The sequence below is a fragment of the Homo sapiens genome, chromosome 1 (genome assembly GCF_000001405.40).
Source record: "Homo sapiens chromosome 1, GRCh38.p14 Primary Assembly".
NCBI classification, from domain to species: domain Eukaryota; kingdom Metazoa; phylum Chordata; class Mammalia; order Primates; family Hominidae; genus Homo; species Homo sapiens.
In genome coordinates this window covers 61074327-61095937 of record NC_000001.11, presented here as the reverse complement: position 1 = coordinate 61095937, position 21611 = coordinate 61074327, and the positions used below count along the sequence as shown (strand labels likewise).

General features: G+C 40.5%; 1 protein-coding gene across 4 annotated transcripts in view, besides 1 other annotated feature; it reads right to left on the bottom strand.

The window, feature by feature from the left end:
- NFIA (nuclear factor I A) overlaps positions 1–18711 on the bottom strand; it is a 385562-nt gene extending 366851 nt beyond the window's left edge. For 2 of the 4 annotated variants that reach the window (NM_001134673.4, NM_005595.5), the window contains exons 1-2: positions 13120–13377; positions 7258–7789 (exon numbers count right to left, since the gene is read on the bottom strand). In NM_001134673.4, the coding sequence (NP_001128145.1) occupies positions 7258–7789; positions 13120–13146 (559 nt within the window). In that variant the 5' untranslated portion in view covers positions 13147–13377. Of the gene's footprint in view, positions 1–7257; positions 7790–13119; positions 13378–13890; positions 14200–18309 lie in introns of those variants that run through there. The other 2 variants (NM_001145512.2, NM_001145511.2) reach the window with 2 other exon arrangements.
- Positions 13807–14101: a silencer, noted in NCBI's record as "tiled region #5981; K562 Repressive non-DNase unmatched - State 1:Tss". NCBI's record gives its function as "represses a minimal TATA promoter and a strong SV40 promoter by Sharpr-MPRA in K562 cells {active_cell/tissue: K562}" and the evidence as "EXISTENCE:reporter gene assay evidence [ECO:0000049][PMID:27701403]".

The window sequence follows — 21611 nt, the reverse complement described above, 5'->3', positions numbered from 1 at the left end:
GTAATGTATAGGGGAAATTAGAAATATATATTATGTCTTGTACATATAAAACCATGTACAAAAATCTGCATAGTAAAAATTACATGCAATTTAGTTTTTAAAATAGTGCTTAGTTTAATACACAAAGGCTTCTCAAAGCATCTAGAACGAATTAGTTTAACTTTGTCTTAACAACAACTAAAAATCTTAAACCTGTGTCATAATGCTTCTATTCACTAAATTTCAACATTATAAAAACAAAAAAGAACAAATCATTTCAGATTTTGACCCTAACAGTGACAAGTGTAACATCATTTCTCTCTTTATCAAGTGTGGCCTCATTCTGTGGCTAACATCTGAATTTGACAGTGAAATATCTCAATGGGAGGGGTTTGGATTTTGACTTTTTACTTTCCCTTTGATTCAAGACAGGTGTGTGATACCATGAAAACGACATCCAACCCTAAACAATAAGATATAAAGAAGGATACAAAATGAATTTGAATTGTTTAAGAGCATAAGATTTGAAATCAGAAGACCTGGGTTTGAATCTTGCTCTGGACATGTAACCTGGCCACTCTGAAGAGTCTATCCTCATCCGTTCAAATAGAGAGTGCATTACTAATTCATAATACTGCTATGAAAGCGACAGCAAGCTACAATATATGACTATGACAAACCTTACTCAGTGCCTGCTGCAGAACAGACATTCAATAAAAGTTATTTCCTTTCCTTCCTTCCATCTCCTTTTCTCTACTCCCAATTGATCTAGGTCCAAAATATCTACCACTAGGGAAGTATTTGAAAGACATGAAAAGAAGTAAGTTTAAAGTTCTCAAAGAACATTACAGTTATTCCACTTCAATCTCTAGTTATCATAATTATCCTCATCATTTCTTGTTTTAGGGTTAGCAACATTTTAAAGAAGACCAAGATTTGCCAAAATACACAATACAAATGAACTTCTTTTTCTCAGTTTTATCTTATTTAGCTTGTTTTACAAACAGAAAAGCAAAAATATCTTCTGCTTCAGAGTTGCTGCAACTTGTCATTTGTTGGACTTATTTCTTCACTTCATAAGCCATGTTTATTTAGCTAGAACACTAACGGGAGGACTAATTCCATTAGATAAAATATGCTTTACGCTGTGGAGTTAAAACAAAACATGAGGAATTGTTTTCTAATATTTTGGGGAAAATCTAAGGAAAAAAGTCATTTCTGTCTAAGCAGCAACTAAATAATTCTGTTAAGTTCAGGGACCCAAAAGTTTGGATCAATAATGAGTATCTTACCGTTGCCTACTGGGAAAGAGCCAAAAATTTGACAATACTCTGAACTGCCACCTTAGAAAGCAAAATAGTAAAAAGAATAAACATCTCCATGGCCCCTTTTCTGAGCTTAAGTGTGCAATGATGTCTCTAACTGGACTCCTAAATTCTAAAAAGAATTTTTGCAAAACCTTTTCCTAAAAACTTGAATAAAAACTCCCAAAGCTCTAAATAGTGTCTTAGTCTGAAAAAAGCTATGCAAAAAATTGTGGGAAGACAAATTATAAAATTCTCCACTTGATAGCTCACTGCCCAAGACTGCTTTACAGTCATTACTGAAACCAAAATACTTTTACGGTATCTCCATTTGTGATTAAGTTCAGGGTTTTATGTTTCTCTTTAACAAAGCATACGAGTTCATTCATTCTCTTCCTCCTCCACCTGACTTCTTCCTTCCCTTACTCAACCCCCATGGGTTTACAATTTATAATAATTCAAAAGCAAGCTCTAACCCTTAAATAACCATGGGAAAATTATTACTAAAATGGTAATAAATCAGTGTTTAGCACATTCACTGAACTCAATCTGCATTTTATGTTTTTTCTTCTAGTCTAATCCTCAAAATTGGTTTCAAAAATCTATATTGACATTTGTGAGCAATTAGAATTGTTGCTGCTTCTGTGCAAGATTTAAAATGCCGACAGGCTGTCCCGTGTCCTCTGGAAGCAGCTTGAGGCCTTAACCAAATGAAACACCCAGTCCTACTGTGTACAGCAGTGACCACAACAAAGGCTGTGGTTTCTCCCACACTAGCCTTAAATAGGTTTAAATTAATGCTATTCATCACAGGGTGGAAAAGAAGACAAGGAAAATCCAAGCCAGAAGCATTGGGAAATTTTCTTACCAACACACTCAACCTCTTAGCCATAAATGAACTGACTTCCATTCAAAGGTTTACTCCAGAACAACTATTTCTCCCTATTCCTGTACACTCTCTGCCTTAGAACTACCATCTTTTGCACTACATTCCAGATAAAGGATTTTGTTACTACATTCTAGGTAAAGGATATTGTTACTATCCTCAAGTTACACAGAAAACACTCAAGGATGTAAAATCAATATTTATCTCAAATTTGTTGACTGCTACTGCTATCTTTTTTGAAGAATTAAAAGATAAATTAAAATTTCTAAAAATATGCCATATATCAATAATTTACAATAGCTTGATCAGCCAAAAAATCCACCTTGAGCTTAAAGCTAGAGTTTGATAGGGTGATCCTTACTCTCCTAATTTAAATATCACTGTATATTAGTTTTACAATATACAGTGTATATTGTGTATATTGTGTATACAATATACAGTGTATATTCTTTTTCCAAACACACTTTATTAATAATTACAAATCACAGGAAGTAACTGCACAACTTTCTACTAGGGTGTTTATTAAGTTACTGAAAAAGTTTAATTACAAAAACGTATAGTCCTAGATTTGAATGTAAACACACATACATGTAGCTGCTAAAAGAATATATTGAATATATTTTGGATATGCAATGTTGCCTCAAACTAATGTAGGAAGTTACCTAAAAATTAAAATAATTTTCATAATTAATTTGGCATAAAATTATAAACTGTAACAATCTAATGCGATTTATTTATAAAAATTATAATATTCTATATGCACTGAAAACCTTATCTGTATAATTACACTGTATTTAAAATACTAGCATTTCAAAAAAGAAATCATTCCCATTGCTCAAACAGCACTCTGTGCAGCCTGGATGTGCACGCACATGCACACGAAGCACACACACGCCCCTACACAGACACTCCTAATCTTACACCTGCTCTGAAGCAGTAGGAAGTGAATTCTCAATCTGTCAACATGACCATCTGGTCTATCTGCATATCACGGCTTTCTCTATTACTATATGAAGGAATGGCAATCACGAAGCCAAAATAAAACTAAAATGCACCTGAATGGGAGTAGCTCTCTTTTGGCTGAAATGGAATAATATGAGGTACAGCAGAACAAAACTAGCAAGAATCTAAATAATTTGAAATGAGCATTCATGTCAGCATAATTAAGTGAACAATATGGTACAGGTAATGTGGTAATCAGTAATACTGTTGAGTAGGTTTATAGGACAGGTATCAGGCTTCCGAGACACTGAAACAGCTCCTTCAGTGATTGAAAGGATCTTTGCTATTCCTGATGCAAGCAAAATTAAGTAAAGGTAATAATGGTAGCAGCATGGAAGCAATCAGTAACTACTGCACTAAAAGATTACCGTGCAAAAGTGTTCTCTTTCTACCTTAAAACTAACAAGTACTCATACTGCTGCCATTAGGACAACAGCAACTTGCTTTGTCACTGGCTAATTAACAATTAAAGCAATTACCTGACAAATTGTGGTCACTTATTAATCTTTCAAACTGAATTTTAAGACTGCTAAAAATACTTCTAATGTTAGAAAATTCCTCATCTGCAAAAAGTGAAGATGGCTCACTGTGATTTAGCTTTTAGGCCTAATGTCACTTGAAAATTAGCAAAGGCCTTAGTTGAATTAAACATAAATTAATTTGTTTAATTTTAGATTTTAAATGTCCCCACACAGCTGCCTCCAAGCTTTTATTCTACCCCATGGCAGGTAATAATATCAAATATAAATTGTGAAACTGTCATTCTATGGCCTAAAAATAGCAACCTGCCTCTATCCAAGAAATGAGTCCTTAAAAAGTATAACCTTTCACAAAATCTAACTAATTTGACTGAGAATCTTTCTAGAATCTGATTACATTACCAGAAGTTTATACAGAAGTGGTTAAAAAAAAAAAAACAACAACTCTCCAGAAACTTCTCGGTTGAGTGCCTACTAATGAACAAAGGTTAACTTTATCTAAAAGGTCAAATGCCTGGTGGCTAAGGTTATGACCTTAACAACTTAAATTGTGACCTTGCCACGTGCCGGGTATATTGTAGATTCTGATACAGATCATCTGGTAAAGACTGGTCATAAATTAGCTTTACTGTTACACACCCACAAAGAAAACCATTTGCCACAATACCATAGTATCCCCAAGTTGTCATATGATACATGGGAAGGACAACTCAAATTGAGACCAAATTAAGGGCATAAAATGGTTTTGTTCTTTTAACAAGATGAAATTCTCAGGCTTATGAAATCACTCCAATTTCATTACACTTGTTACTGCTTATCAGCCACAAAATTCACAGTTCTAATGCCACTGGATTTAGAGGGAAAAAACTGGAATGTAGTTTATGTATTATATTTTAGCATGTCAATAAGTCTTAGAATAAATCACCTCCGCTTTAAAAAAAAAAAGATTGATTCTGCATTTGCTTCTAGTATTCTCACGTATGTTCTGAGATTTCAACTTCCTACCAAAGAAAGGTGGACACATAAAGCAAGAATTATTACACACAAATTTCAGAAGGAAAAGAAGATCTAATTTCTATGACCATCTAGGGGGAAAAAAAGGCATTCTGGAAAGGAAAAAAATATAACAATTTAAAAGAAAGAGCGAGAAAAAACGCATTATAGGTGAAAAGGCCACAATGGTTTTGGCATGTATCTTGAAGCACGTTTCAGAGTCTCTGCCTCCTGCCAATACTGGCAAGTTCTCAAAACTTTTAAGGAGGTAAAAACATTGTTTAGTGTTTACAAATCTTCAGTATTATAACAGATGCTTGTCAAATCAGTTGTATGTAAGTTGACCGATCTACCTCATATTTGTATTGGCAGCTTCCCTTCCACAAATAACAGGTCTCTGAATCTCTTAAATCAAATTTGAAATATTTTCAGACAAAAGACCCTTAATATTTTCTTTTACAGTCTTCCTGTTGCGCGCACAGAGAAGCAGCCATTACTGCGGTCCCGTGAAAACCAATGGCCAAACATTTGGCTGGCATTCAGGCATAACAAGGGATTCTGGGATACATCAGGAAAACCAAACCGAAGAGTAGTCTGATCTATGCTGCTGTCAATAAATCTTTCATAAGCAATAAGGATGCTAACTCTCCTAAGTAACCTTCTAAATGTCATTTTACCAACATAACCCCTTCAGGCATTGCAACAACCAACAACTGTGTTAGTTCAAGGATTGGGAGCAATAGCACAGTAACAAACCAACGACGAAAAAGAAGGCACGTAATGAGAACAGCGAAAAGATTGCATTTCTTTAAATAACAGAGAAATGTTTAAGACGAAAACTTAGAATGGACACTGCTTACACCGACAAAAACTTCACAGGTATTTCATTTTGATGTTATCTTATATGGAAGCACACATCATGATCTGCATCACCTGTTGGCACTTTCAAGTTTCGATGTTGGTCATCTATTCGGGATAATTTATAGGTTATATTTTTCTAAATATCTAAAAGGTAAAAACAAGATTTTAAAGAGTGCTTCTTGAAAGCACCTGTAACACCTATACTTTTTTTGCGTTTTGCTGTGCTTAACATATGCAGACACATTTTTTAAAAATTTTAACTTTACTTTTTCAGTAAACAAAACAAATGAACAACAACAGGGTTAAGAGTGGGTTAAAAAAGGGCTACTTATTCCTGCTTAGAGGTCACTTGAGAGGTGCTGACTTTTCATTCTTGCTACCCAGAATTGGCTAAAGCAAAAGGCAATTCTTATAATTAAGTATACATTTTTGAAAACCCAAATATTTGAAACACTTACAGCTCACATCCTCTAAAATACTCATCTATCCCCTGCCAACAGAATGCAAATGATGATGTGACATGCTTGCAAAGCTAATTTCTCCAGTTTCTTATGTAAGGGCAGATGGATAACAAAAGTTCTCTTTCTAAAACATATATTGAGAAAAATAATAGAGAACAGGCTATCAGCTGGCTTCTTTAAAAACTCACTAACATTTTTAGAATTAAAAATGTTTTGAAGAAAAGTGCAGTGTTTTTACAGGTAACATCTCTCCTTTGTAAAAAAAAAAAAAAAAAAAGAAAAAAAAACGTTAAATATTTGAACCCCAAAACAACCTACTGGTAGGATTCCACAACCCTCTTTCTTCCATCTGGCTCAAGTAACTGCCATGAAGGTAATCTAGCAAGACCGATATGTACATATATAAAGTCAACAAGTTACACAAGACCTGAGCGTTCACATAGCACAATGAGCCTTTTGTCTAAAACAAGACGAAAGGAACAAAGTAAAAATGCATTATTTTATCCAGTCCTCAATAGTTTTATCCTGCATGCTATTCTAAACACTGAAACATGCACAGGTAAGACATGCCTTGAAAAAACAGAAAAAAAATTTAAGATTTTACAATCAAAGCAACTCACTACATCAATTATCAATAGCAATTTTTCAATGTGTTCATGCAATATACAGGTTGGTTATTTTTAATATTAACCTCTCCATCAATTACTGAAAGAGCTGGTTTGTTTCCCTTAGCTATCTGAGACAACACTAAGAATTCCTAAATACAAAGCTACTAAGTCTGCGTATTAATGTGATTATTTTTCCTTCCTAAATGATCAGCAATTTGATAGTAATCTACCTCCAACTTCTTAATTGGCAAGGGGTTCAAGAGGCCTCAGTAGGTTAAAAACACTCCCAGCAGAAAACCAACTAAAAATATTGCCTCAATACCAAAATAAATGCTTTTAAACTAGATCATTTGTCAGTTAAAATATACTCTTTATTAAAAGGGTTTTCACGAGGCTTCTCTCATCCCCTCATCAAAAAATGTGATTTAAACATATCACATATCTGATTACCAACGCCTCTGAAAACACTACTTACCAAAAGAGCTGAACTTAGTGAGAATTCGCTCAAAGCTATGCTTTTTCACCTGAATGAAGGTGGCACCTCTCTCAATCTTTGAAACCACACTGGCTTCATGTACGTGGCCTGCAACTTGGGGAGCTCAGGAAGAATCCGGCATAACGCGGAGGCCATCAGGAAAGAAACACACACAAGAAAGTGGGAGGAATTCTCACCATCGCACTTACCTGCTGCATGCACAAAGTATGCCAAATATAAATCGAGTTCCTTAACAGAAACCCCTATGTGATGGGGTTGGACACAGAGCCCTGGATTAGAGCATTGTGGGGACTTTACAAGGCGCTCGCCATCAGTACTTTCCAGCGGAATACCTTTAAACAAAATCACCATAACAAGGTCCAACCTCCAGACTTTATCTGCCTGGCGGAGGCAGTCAATTCTTCGCATCTTGCCTTTCTGGTCTGGGTTGGAAAGAACACAACATGGAGGTTTTTTCCCTGTAACTGTAAGAACAAAATCCTCTCGATATTCGGGTCGGATATCTTTCCGCAACTTTGCCAGAAGTCGAGATGCCCACTTCTGCTTGACCTCTGGTTTTTCACTTAGCAATTCATCCTTCACGGCTCTCTCTTCTTCTTTTGACATACGCTTTTCATGTTTTTTGAAGTATTTTCGTTTTCGGGCCTGCAGGTTGAACCATGTGTAGGCAAAGGCTCGGACGTGGGGCAGAAGTGCTTCGATGAAAGGATGAAATTCATCCTAGGAAAATGAACAAAAAGAAAAATATAAGTAGAATGAAAACAAAAGAAAACAACTTTTCTTCAGCGGGTCACCTTAAGAAAGAAATTCCTCATTTCACTTGAAATTTGATTAGAGCATTCTGTTACCAAAATCATACACAGGATCCTATGGGAAGTCTGGGAAGGTGGGAGAGAAAACTATCAGTATCATTTCTTATGATCGGAAATAAAAAAACTGCTGAAAATTAAAAAACTGTTTTAATATGTTCACCAGGGTACACCAGCTACTACTGTCGGGCCTAGCTCCCCATCCTTTAGATAGTAAGTGAAGTTTATCTAAATGCTTATAACAATGTATAATCTTAACCCTATTTCAAGGAAGGCATATCTAATTTTGTCCCAGCCTTGACCTCACCACTTGTAGTACAGCCAGGGCCCAGCCGCCAGATTGGCAAATCCTAAACATTTAGATGCCAGTCAATGTTTATGGAAGTCTAGGAGCAAAAAATCATCTCTACAATCAATGAAAACAAAGGCTTTCCCCCTAAAAATATTGCATGTAGATTCTGATATGTTTCTTACTCATTTTGCTAGTGTCTAAATTCCCCTTTTAAATATTATAACTACATATAATTTTTTTAGTCAAAAACTAGGACAAATTTGGGAGGTTCATATACAAAAGAAGGATTGAATTTGATATTTATTAGGCTAAAATAAAAGATCTATGCCCAAGACATAATTGCTAATACTATGGGAATGAAACAAAAAGGGGGAAGAAAGAGGAAAAAAAAACAAAGAAAAGCATACATGAATACATTTAATTTACTAATATGATTGTGAAGTGCTTTCAGTAATAATCATACCTAAAAAATAGATTATTTAATTTTTGCAAATACTATTTCAGGATTTTTCTCATAGGGAATCAGAACCTGGTATTTTCAATATTTACAAGATGCCGGGAAAACCCTCATAGATGCCTCTTAAAATTGAAAAAAAAATTGAGTTTCAAATATTTAAATGTTTCTTTCTGTTTTGCTTAAAATGTTTGATCCTTATACATGACATTTTCTTAGGAAATATAAATATATTTTTTAAAAAATTAAGCAGTAACCTCCACAAAGCTTTCGGAGTACGTCTAACTTTTGATTAACTAATCCACACTGTTACATAACTTCTCTCTGCCACATAACCCCCTCTCCAAAACATAGATTACCTTCAAATAAATGAGGATTAGAAACCAAAGAAAGATTCGATGGCTTTTTTGCTAAATGGTGTAGGACAGACAAATATTATAAAATGCATTCTTTTTCAGTTTGTTATATCTAACTAAATATATACTTTCAAGGCACAGGTAGCAGTAATGTCCAGAATATTATTATTAACACAATTACTAAATTTTTAAATGTTCAAATGTGAACTGATAAGGTAAAATATTTAATAGTCGTGTTGTTTAAAAATTTAGCAAATTATAATCAATCATTTAAACACTCTATATGACTGAGCTTTTAAAAGTAAGTATATATTAATACATAATAAATTACTTCAATAACTGACTTTTTTCCTCTCTGCACAAATTTCAGGTTCTATGTTTCAAGTTTAGCTTTCAAAACTGCTCTTTTTCAATAAAAGAATCCAAAAGAGAAGTAGTCAGCTTTTGTAACACGTGTGCATTCTTTAAGTAGAGAGAGAATAGAAAAAAATACAGGAATTGTTATTCTTGCCATAAACCATTAACATTTTTAAAATTTCTGATGTTTGAGAATATTTCTTATTCTCATACTTTAGGTGACAGGCATGGGGGGCAAGTCACAGTTTATCTGCAAAGGTATACGCCAAACCACAAAGCATCTAAACGTTACTAAATTCTGAGCTCATCCTTGAAATGATCTAAAATACATAAATTTTAGGTTTGAAACAGAACTTCACATTGACTGATTTTCTTATATATACAAGACATGCTAGGGACCAAGACTCTGTTGTATTATGCAAAAAACTCCTGGAGTCTACCTTAAACTACCAAGTGAGCTTTCACCAAAAGGAGGACTTCATTTTAAAGTTTCATCCCCATTTTATAATGCAAAGTATAACTTAGCTCCAAACGATTCATATCTATGTTAAAATGTTATCTTATTTAAAAGTTTGATTAATGATAATAAGCATTTAAAATAAACATTCTAATATGGCATTTTAAGTGTCTGTAGATACTCCCAATATGCTTTTCAAAAAACTGCAAACTGCATGCATGCATTCGTGTCCAACAGGATTCTGTTTACCTGCCAACCAAATGCCCATATATCTCATCATAAAAATCCTTAAACAAGAACAACTATGTCAATTAGTCATTAAGAATAACTTAAGTCCCCAATTTTGCATCAAAAGTATTTACAATGTATTACTCCCCAAAGGTTAAGAACCTGCCAGTAAAAGTCCACAATATTTTGTATAACTTTACTCATATGCACAATTAAAGTATTGATTTTTTCTAATGTATCTTTCTCAAGTCATGATTTAAAATATTCCAGAATATCAAAACTAAAGAGTATCATTAGCTTGCAAGAAATGTCCAGGAATAGCATAAATGATTAGTTAAAAAAAAAAAGTAGTGTGCCCTTATAATTCATGTTGCTGAACATATCGCTATAAGCTAGGTACTATTTCATAACATTCAAGAGGAAAAAAAGAACGTTTTACATATGTACTCAGTGAGAAAGTTATAGGCCACCAATAAAAACAAACCTGAAAACCTGTTTCAAAAGTGGTATTACTTTGAATCAGCATCTTAAACATTGATCTGTTTGAAAGTGAGCCAAGTTTAAGAACCACTGAATGCTGATATTTCTGGAAACTACTTTTTTTAAAAGTTCACCTACAAATTTCTGCTGGGTTATCATTATATGGACAGTACCTGATTTGATTATATGCCCATATTTGATTAAAATAAGATGTCTAGGTTTTTCTTGGTAAAGTTTTTTTTTAAATTGCCTACAAGTTAAATGGAGTTTCATTTAGAGTATAGTGATAGAAATCACTGTGCTTACTGATTTTTTTTAATGAGCAATAAACTACCGAAGTTCTTCTTCCTAAAACTGGCTCTAAAACATTATAAATATCCCAGCAAGTTAAATAAATTGTAAATAAATTTTTAAAAGCAGAACCCATAAAATATGAGCCCTCATTCACTATTTATTGTACATTTTCTTTACAAACTGTTACACTAAATAAGCATTTCTCTTAGTGGTGTTTCCAGAAGAAGGCCTAGTGAATGCATCAATCAACGCTGCTGAATATGTAAGCCGAAAAAAAAAGAAAAAAAAAAACTCTCTTAATGTCATAATACCTCATGAACCAACAGAGGCCAACTTTGTTAAATACCTGACTGTGCCCTAGGCCTGCATGGATATACAGGTGCCCTCATATATGCACCATTCCCAAATATAAATTTATCTTTTCAGAGCTCAATTGAGAAGACACTAATGTATCTGTTAGGGTCCTTTCCCTTTATTGCAGCTCGCTGATATTATCTACAAGTTCTGTGTGTTGCAAACTTCTGCCAGCTAGAACTTCAGCCTTCGAATCTCAGCATTTTCACTATAGTCCGTAATTCATTCAAATTATCTTACACTTTGCATCTTATCCATATGCAATTGTGAACCTTGCCAGAAGTGGTTGGAAAAGTTTCATTCCATACTTCCACAAGTTACTAAAATAGGAACTTTGGAAGTTTGTTAGGAAAAAAAAAAAAAACTTTTACAGTAACTAAAAGTAACTGCTATCCATTATTAATGCTAGGCCTAAATCCCAAACAGACCATTTCAACATAAAAGATGCGTTTAAGAGTCTTCTGAGATCAAATACCCGGTATTATTACTGTTAGATATTGCAATAAGAAGGGATGTCATGTGGGAAATAAATCCAGAATCTAGAGAGGAGAGCGAAAACTACTGATACTTTTTAGCCTTCCAGAAACTATTCCGGTTAAACCGTTATCTCCTACTAAATGAAGGCAAGAAGTGGTAGGTTTTTTAAGGGAGAGGTGAATAAACATTTTATGTGAAGCATATAACTTCATGTAGGTGATTAATGGTCAGATCCTAATGTACCAAAGCAGTATGAAATCTCACGCTTAAAAAAAAAATAGCGCAAAACCACTTTGACTTCAAGCCTTTTAGTCAAGGAAAACAAATAACATATTCAAAGGGGACCGGATTTGAAGTCTCGAAGTAGCAATATTTTGCCTGGGGGTGGGTAGACAAGGGAGGAATGGACAGGGGGGCACGGAAAGGAGAGGCGGTGGGGCGCAAGAGCCCCATGCTCTGAGTTGAGTCGGAGGGGAAAAGTTGCCCCCGTCCTGCGCGCGGAGCGGCCGGAGTCGCGCGGTGGCGGTGGTGGTGGTGGCGGCGGCGGCGGCGGGGGGAGCCGTGTCCGGCCCGGGCCGCCGCTCCGGCTCCCGGCTAGGAGCCCAACTCTGCCCGGCGCTACCCGGCCCGCGGCCCGCGGCCTCCGGCGTTCGGCGCCCTGCACAACGTGGGCTCGTCTCGGCCCCGAAACTTTCACTCCGGGAGAGCCAACGGGCCACCGGCGCGCGGCGAGGACGCAGGCTCCACCCGGCCGGCGCGGGGGAACGCGCGTCCACGTAGCCCCGCTCAGCCGAGGGCTAGCCGCAGCCTGCCCGCGTCCGAGGGGCGCTGTCCGGGCCGGGGCCGGGACGGGAGCCCGCGTCCTTTCCGCGGCCGGACCCCGAAGGCTGACAAACAATAAACAAAAGTAAGAGTTCGGGAAGACGGCGGGGGGCTGCGGCAGCGCAGGCTGCGGGGAGCGGGCCGTTGGGCGCAGGCACCCGAGGTCTCCCCGCACCCGAGGACTGCAGCCGGCCCGAGCGTGCGGGGTGAGCGGTGGGCTCCGTCGGCGGCCCCCTCCCCGGGCGCTGCGGCACTACGGAATCCCTGCTCCCGGCAGCAGAAACGCTGAGCCAGATTTCTGCGTGTCATGGACTGCAACCCCGCCGAAACACGTGCGGGGTGTCCGAAAACACTGCTGTTCCGCAGTCCGTCGCCCCGATATTAATTAACGCATTAATAAGAGGGCGCCATTAGCCATGTGCCCACACAAATGGCCGTGCAAGAGGAATGCACCCGCATGGAAACAAAGTTACTTTCTTTAAGCGGGATCCCCCCCCCCACCCGCGGGCACACGCGCGCACACACACAGAAACACGCGCAGACACAGACACACACCGAGACGCACGCCCTGGGCCCGGCCGGAGCGACGGCCCCGGTGCCCCCCACCCAGCCCCAGCCCTGCCCCCGGCGCCCCGGCCCCCAAGCCCTCCGCATCCACGCCGCGGCTTACCTGGGTGAGACAGAGCGGAGAATACATAACTGCCGGGCGCTGGGGTATGCGTGTGCGTCTGGGTGTGCGGTTTGGAGGTGTGCGTGAGTGTGGGTGAGAGAGGAGAAAGAGGGAGAGAGGAAGAGAGAGAGAGAGAGAGAGAGAGAAGGGGGGAGAAAAAAAAATCAAGCCTGCTTCTTGCGTTCACATTTCCAAGTCGGCTCAACTGCAGCCAGCCAGCCAGCGCTATTGCCGCTCCATGAGCTGAACTTTAACCCCGCCTAGAGTTTCCCTACACTCCACTATACATGCCTACTGTACGCGGGTGTTAAAGGCATAGCGCACCCTTTCCCGCTCCCGCGCCGGCCCGGCCGGGTGCCCGCGAGCTGCCCGCGCGCCCGCCTCCGCCTCCGCTCTGCACCGCACCGCACAGCCGCCGCCCGCTCGCGCCGCCGCCGCGGGGGGGAGGGGGTGTGGGGGAGGGGGCGGCTGCGGCGCCGCGCGGCCAGCCGGGTCCCGAGCCTCCGCGGCCGCTCGCGCTCGCAGGCTGGCTCGCTCGCTCCCCGGCTCTCTCCGTGGCTCGCTCCTTGCTCGCTCGCTTGCTCGCTCTCCCGCTCGCTCCCCGGCCCCCCCGCCCCCTCCCCCGATCAGCGCATTACTGGGTAACGCAGTGAGGAGCAGTTACAGTCTGTACTCCCGGGCAGCTATAGGCTGCCACAGGATGTGCTTAAGCAAACAAAACTACTTTTCCTCGTCCCCATCCCCCCACCCCCGCTGCAGACCTCCGCGGACCTCGGTGGAGGACTTGGGCAACTTTGCCAGGTTGCCCCGCACCCCCCGGGCCACCGCGTGGGCACGTAGAGAACCGAGGAGGAGGCCGGGCGGCACATTTGCATGTATGCAAATTTCTTTGAAAAATCAGACCTCCTAGGTAACTTTTTTTCCCCCACTGAAATGCGGTAAGGCTCAAAGCATTGTAATCTCTCCAGCGAAGCTTTCTGTGGGAATAGATTCGTCGGCAGAGGTAATTATGCACACAATCCTGCAAACTTTGTGCAGCTTCGGTCCTGTGGCATTCAGAAGCGGGGGTGGTGAGGAATCAGTGCCCACAGAAGATTCACCGGATTTGGGGGGCGGGGGTCTGGAGAAAAGAAGGCGGAGATTAATGAGCGTTATCCCTCCCAGGACTGTGAAACTAGTGGGTTTGAACACAGACGCCATAGAAAAAGTTCTATCACGTTCAGAAACAACAGTGGTTTAGCTGTGACATCTTTTACTTTTTAGGAGGAAAAAAATATGTGAAAGGGATGTCCCCTTAGGGAAGGGAGATATTCTGATCCACAAACGCGTGCCCAGAACTGGACATAGGCTATCATTACCGTCCCAGTTTCTGGGACACCTCTGGAAGGGTGCCTTTTAAGAATCCCTTTTTTCCCTCCCCCAGGTAATAGTTCTTAAAATGGAAAAGAGCTTCCTGCAATTATTTTAGGTTTGCTAAAGTATTGTTTTGGCAGAAAAGAGGGGGGTGGTTTTTAGGGTTTGGCAAGTTGCCAGTAAGCCTGCTTTTCCAGTTTTTTTTTTTTAACCTCATATTTTCTCTCTAGGCTCTCCTCTCTCGGAGGGGGGAAAGCCTACCTGCCTCTTCTAAGCCCCCATCCCTTATTTTACTTCTCTTCCTCATGATGGTTTGCAAAATGCTGCATTTGACAACCCTTCTCAAAATTCCAAAAGGAAAGAGGTAGGTATCATGTTGAAAGACACTGGCACACAGGGGAATCTGCCCTTCGGTGGAGGTGACATAACCAGAGAGTCTCTAAAGAGGGGACATTCCTGTAGGAAAGTGAGGGTAAGTGATGTGTTAACAAGTGAGGGTGAGTGATGTGTTAAGGCCACTCTCATTCAGACTTCTTTTCAAAGCAAGGGGCAGGAAATACTGTACTGGAGAAAGAGCAAAAGAGAACCTCTGAAATAATTCTGCATCTGTCTAAAGTTATTTTATGCTTGTACTTTAGTTACTTTATTGCCAAAATAATTCCCGAATGCTCAAGAACCATTCTCTCTCCCACCCTCCCTCCTGAACATCCTTGGAAATCTCTCAAGATTATTTACTAAGGAGTGAGGAGAAATAATGATTTCAGCCTTTAATGAGAGAGTCCATTTTCCCAAACTTAACCCACTGCTTTTCCTTGGTTCCTCTCAGATTTTAGTAGGGGAGGAATGTCCTAAAAGCCAAGCTGTGTTACAGAGACAACATCCCTGGCCACGAGAACCTTTGCTGGGATCTATAACTTCAATGCGCTCCAAGTTTCCTCGATAGAAGTTTCTGGCTGACGGTCCCAACATGTAACTGAGGCACAGTGAAAAGTTATTGTTCAGAGTGTGTACTCGGGAAGCTCTCTTCCAGAGCAGATTAAAATCTTTCTTTTGGTGTATTAAAAGATACACTTCACATCTGCCTATTTTCAAAACGGCAAAGATTCTTACTTTTGAGTCTCAAGGAAAAAAAAGATTTTTTTTAAAAAGGACTGGCATGTCGCCCTGTTTTTTTTTTTTAATGGGGGAAGTAATTTAATGCTGATATTTCTACTTTAAAAACTTCTTTTGTTGCAGCAGTGGATGTGCCCCGCGATTTCCAGCTTTCTGCGGTTAGCAATATTATCTTAAGTAACTTTTGGCGCCCTTCGTAAGACTTTTGGATATGGGACGATTGTTTGCGCCCTCTAGGCAAGGGCTGGATCCAAGTTCAGCACCAAAGCCCTTCACATCCGCTCCTGCTTTCTCTCCTATCTCCGCCAGCTCCCGCTCCCTCCCCCGCGGAGGGAGGGGGGGAGGCGGGGGAACACTACAAAGCACAGTTCCAACTACAGCCTTTGGAAACAAGACTGAGAAAAATACAGTAGAAGAGTTACAGTTACAGAAAGGCTTCTGGTAACTTTCTCTCCAACAGGCATAAATTTAAACACACGCACAAAGAAACAGATGTTCCTCAAAGGGCAGACTGGGGGTAAAAAACATTTCCAACCCTCTCCCCTCTTCCCAAGTTGCAAAAGTAAATCCTTGTCCAGAGTTCACAAAGATACTAAGGCACTTGAGAGAGAGCAGGGATGGAGGAGGAGGGAAGAAAGAAAGGATAGTAGAGAGAGCAGTGGAGGAAACGCAGGTGAAGTATGGAAACTAGTTCACTGCAATCATATAAATGACCCATTGTTAGGAAGGATAAACCCCTTATTGGAAATAACCTCTCCAATCATTTATTTTCCAAGTGGTAGGAGGCTGCCTTGAAATGGGATTGTCTCTGCGCAAAGGAGGCTCCTGTCATGCTCTCTGCTATCCATATTCTTCCTGGCACAGAGCCCAGCCTTGCATTTACTGTGTTTTATTTGCAGAAACGTTACCTTGCCAGCTTTAGTGAAATCCTCTTAGATATATAAATTACGTCAATAAGGTTTCACTTATATGTACATCTCAAATAGCTCTCATTTTGGAGGTTACTTAATAGGGAGATCTTATTAATATGATTTAGATTTTAATACCCAAAGCAGTGAAGATAGGACTGGGATTCATAAGCGACAACACCATAACTCTGTAGTTCTTACCAAAACTAACTTTATTAACTGGCATTTTTCAACATTTTTTCTTCTCTGGTTTTTGACCTGCTGGTCACTTCTGTGCAGATTTTTCTTATGTGCATATAATCCTAAATTGAATCATGTTGCTGAAGTGAGTGTCCAAGTGAATTCTTACATCAAATTTCCAAGCCAGATTTGACTGGAAGGCCTAAAGCCTTGGGAAATAGCTCGATGGGAATTTAATCCAAAGAAGGGAAAGAGCCCATATTATTTTCCATTCACTTCCCAACAGAATTGGGTGTCTACGCTGCTCAGAGAGGAGGAGATGGAGATATTTTAGTCAGAGGCTGCCAGTTACTGTCTCCAAGACAAGCTACTGCAGTTGGTTTCCACTGGATTTGTATCAAGCACTTGTCCAAGAGGCCAGACTCCAACTAACAGTTAGCAAGTCAGCGATCTTCCATACACTCTCCACGGGGGTTGTTGTGGTAACAAGGAGAAACGTGAACTTGGCCAGTCTTAACGTCCTATTTCCTACTGACCATATACTTAAAAAGCAGAATTCAAGAATAGCCAAGAAAAAACACTCCCCTAATTTCTTTCAAGTGTGTAAGACAGCTGCTAGTCCACATGTGAAACATTCTCTCCTTTAAAACTGTTGTTTAGAGTTCAAGAAGAGAGGTTTACCTATTAATTTCAAAGTACTTGAAATGCCAAAGCTTCTAAGATAATCAGAGTAAGAAGTTTTGTAATGCTGAATACGCAATATATTACTTCCCAAAGCTCACTACAGTCCCACAATTCAGGCAAGATTTAAGCCACACGTTTCTTAAAGTTGAACTTCACATTCCACAAGTTACCAGCTTCCCTGAGCATAAAAATAATAGCTAATGCAAAGTTAATAACAATACAAAGTTATTTCTCTAGCAGAATGTTTCTTTTTCCAAAAGACAAGGAAGAAGGCACACGATTCATGCAAAACTCCCCCGATCAGCTTTTTTTTTTTTCTTAAACGCGAAAATTCTTTCCTATTGTGCTTGCTAAATCCGGAAGCGCTTGTAGCTTTGACAGCTTGAACCACACCATCCCCTTCAGAGCTGCAGAGAACTTCAGATCTCCTCTGCCCCGCCCCCTCTGGCTATTGAGAACTATTGTACACCCAAGCTTCCTTATGATTGGATAAAGCTTTTGTCAATCTCCCAAGTTGTCCCATTGATTAGAGGATCAAATCGTCAATTATTCTCCGGGTCCAGACATTTCTTTTCGGGTTAGGTTGACTGCTGAGGCCAGACGTCTTTTACAGAACAGAGCACGTACAGGATTTCCCCCCACCCCTTTCTGGAACCGAGCAAGCGCTAGGAGGAAAAAAAAATCTGTCAAGCTCAGCAATTTTTTCAAATCCCGAAAAAAAAAAAAAAGAAAAAGAAAACCCGGTCTCTGATGCACATAGCAAAAACACCATCAACAAAGCTACATCTTTAAAACAAAACCATCACAATAGACATTTACCCAGCAATCACTTAAGTGCATATGCGAGCTAGAGAAATTTTAGTCTTAGCCATTAAACAAAATCATTCTACCATTGTTTATAAAACGCATATCATATAAATGCAAAATAGAAAGTTTAAGATGTACCACGTACCATTGCAATGTAAAAAGAGTACGTGAGAAACTTTAAAATGCTCAGACGAATTGCTTCATTTGTTGTCCCCTTTTTTTTGCATTTAAAAAATATCTAAATAAACTTGGAACCGTTGAAAACCCGGAAGAGATTTTTTAAAAAGCTGTTGGCCAATTGCAGGCTTCTTGGAGAATTTTTTTTTTAACTCCAAATCAGAAGGCTTTTGCAATTGCAAGGCGCGCTCTCTCCCTCTCTCACTGTCTCGCTCTCGCTCGCTCGCTCGCTCGCTCTCACTCTCTCTTTTGAAAGCGATCCAACCCGGGCTGGCTGGTTCTCAGATTCGCTCTGGTTTTGCCTTGCGTGCTTTGGATTGTACGAGACTTTGCAGAAGTTGCAATCGATTCGGCAGTCCCTCTCTCCTCTCCCAACTCCCTTGTTTATTTCCGCAATCGCTGCAATTTGCATAGTAACCACGCACGAGGTACCGGCGGCAGCCTGCGGCGGAGGGGGCAGGGAGGGGGCAGGGAAAAGGCCTTGCCCCCTTCTCCCCTCCTCCAGTCTGTCTCCCCGCCAGTCGTCTCCTCCCCTACGGCGCGTGGCCAATAGGAGCCCCTACATTCGGCGCAAGCTCCGGTCTGGACACCGTTCTGAAGAAAAGCCCCTGTGTTACTAGGCCCGGCTCTCGGAATCGTTCTGTTGGCGCAGTACAAGTTCCCCTGCTTGCGCACCTCGCAGCCGGTACTGGGCAACGTGAGGATAAAGTACCTTTGCCTGCGGTTGTGCGGGTTTTGCACCTTTTAATCAAGTCTGCACACCTGCTCTCTCGGTTTCTTTTTCCAGGGCCTCTCGTGAGTTATTAGGCTAGTTCATGATGGTTAGTGAGAGATTTAACCTTTATTTGCACTAGTGTAGACCAAGAGTTAAAGATCCTCTTTGGTGCATTAAATCAAGAGAGTGCAAAATGTCACAGGGAACTTGCAGTGAAATAAAGCGTCTACCCTAGGTTAGGAAAGAAAAAGACAGTGGCTCTATTCTCTGCAGATGACTGAACATAAAATTGTTAGGTGGGCTCCCTCAAGAATAAAGCTGTTCTTTTAAGGCAGGAGATACGGTGAAATTCTAATTTAATTGCCAAGCATCTAATTTGTCAATATCCTTACAAAACCTGGGTTCCACAAAATTAAAGGAGACCCCTCCCCTTCCTACTCCCCTAAGAGAAGAGCTGTAAGAGTTTTGACATTTAAAAGGGGGGTTTTAAAAGATAATTATTGGAACATTAAGTCCTTCATCTCACTGACTCACCTTATTTCATTAACCCAGACTCTTTAAGACCATGTAGTCTGGATATTTCAATGTCAACAGTTTAAGTGTTTGTTTTAAACAACAAAATAGCCATTGGTGCAGAGCAAGGAAATAAGACTCTGAAGGGAGGGAGTTATCTCTTTAAATGGAAAGCACACAACCAGGCTACTGCGGTTTTCGTTGTTGTTTTTAAAAATGTGATTGCTGGCTGGGCACGGTCGCTCACGCCTGTAATCCCAACACTTTGGGAGGCCGAGGTGGGCGGATCACAAGGTCAGGAGATCGAGACCATCCTGCCCAACATGGTGAAACCCCGTCTCTACCAAAATTACAAAAATTAGCCGGGTGTGGTGGCGCGTGCCTGTAATCCCAGTTACTTGGGAGGCTGAGGCACGAGAATCGCTTGAACCCAGCAGGCGGAGGTTGCAGTGAGCCAAGATCACACCACTGCACTCCAGCCTGGTGACAGAGCGAGACTCTGTCTCAAAAAAAAAAAATTGTGTTTGCTTTGAGTCAGTTAAGGAGCATAGGACATTTTGCTGAATAACTTAGAGGAAAACGTGTGCTTACCTGGCTTGATTAAAAGTATCCAGTAAGAAGTCAAGAGTAATAGGAAGCAACCTGGCAGTTGTCTGATTTTCTTAACTGTCCTTGGTGAAGGTACCTAATTAATTAATAACAGGACCTTGCATAGTTAAATTGGAGGTTAGAGAAACCTCATATTTTATGTTGAATCACATTTTTTGCTTCGGTCTTGCTCTCTACAACTAGTCGACTGATGTAGCCGTACTGTGGCTGGCCTTGGCATTAGCTTTGCTGTTCTGGTCTGCCCCTCATAGATGCAGATATGCTCTTGGCTGTAGCAAGCCTGTGGCATTTAATCCTAGCCTCCTCCACTGAGCATCCATTTCCACTTGGTGTACTACTCTCACCTAGAAATACACTTGATGTGATGTAGCGGCTTCAGTTTAAATAAAAAATAATACTTTGGGAGGCCGAGGCAGGTGGATCACCAGGTCAGGATCTCGAGACCAGCCTGGCCAACATGGTGAAACCCCGTCTCTACTAAAAATACAATAATAATAATAATAACAATTTTTTTAAGTAACCAAAAAAAAAAGTTTTGGGCCTGGTTTAGCTGGTACTAGACTGTGTGACCTTGAGATGGTTACATAACACCTGTAAAACAAGACATCAACCTATTGTGAGAGTGGAAGGTTTTGTCAAAAGGTAAGAACCGTTGAGATGCAGAAGAGGTGTCAACCTGTACTGCATTGCTCTGTAGATACTATGGTCTGAATAATCTCTGATGCTAAGCAGGCCAGGCCTTGTAAGTAGGTGGTAACAGTGAATTTTGTGTGCATTGTCTGTAGTGCATTAACTCAGTTTGATATGGTAGGTTGGCACCATTTCCAAAGTGACCTTTTATATCTCCATCTAGTCAACAACAACATAGCATTGACAACATAGCATTGGCTTCAGAGTCCAACTTAGGTTTTTTTTTTTGGACAGAGTTTTTGCTCTTGTTGCCCAGGCTGGAGTGCAGTGCTGCGATCTCGGCTCACTGCAACCTCTGCCTCCTGGGTTCAAGTGATTCTCCTGCCTCAGCCTCCTCAGTAGTTGGGACTACAGGCACCCGCCACCATGCCTGGCTAATTTTTGTATTTTTAATAGAGACCGGGTTTCACCATGTTGGGCAGGATGGTCTCAATCTCCTGACCTTGTGATCCGCCCACCTCGGCCTCCCAAAGTGCTGGGATTACAGGTGTGAACCACCAAGCCTGGCCTCAACTTAGGTTTTAATGTTGGTTCTACCATGTGTATTTTTTTTTTTTTCAGGCAAAACCTCTGCAAGCTTTAGATTTCTGATCTGGAAAATGGGAGATAGATAACATATGTAAATTAACTAGTACATTATGTGTGCTCAATATAGGCTCATTGAAGGTGCTAAGAGCTAGGGATACAGCAAAGAATGAGACATTATCCCTGCCTCTAACAAGCTTTCAGTGCAATGGGGTAGA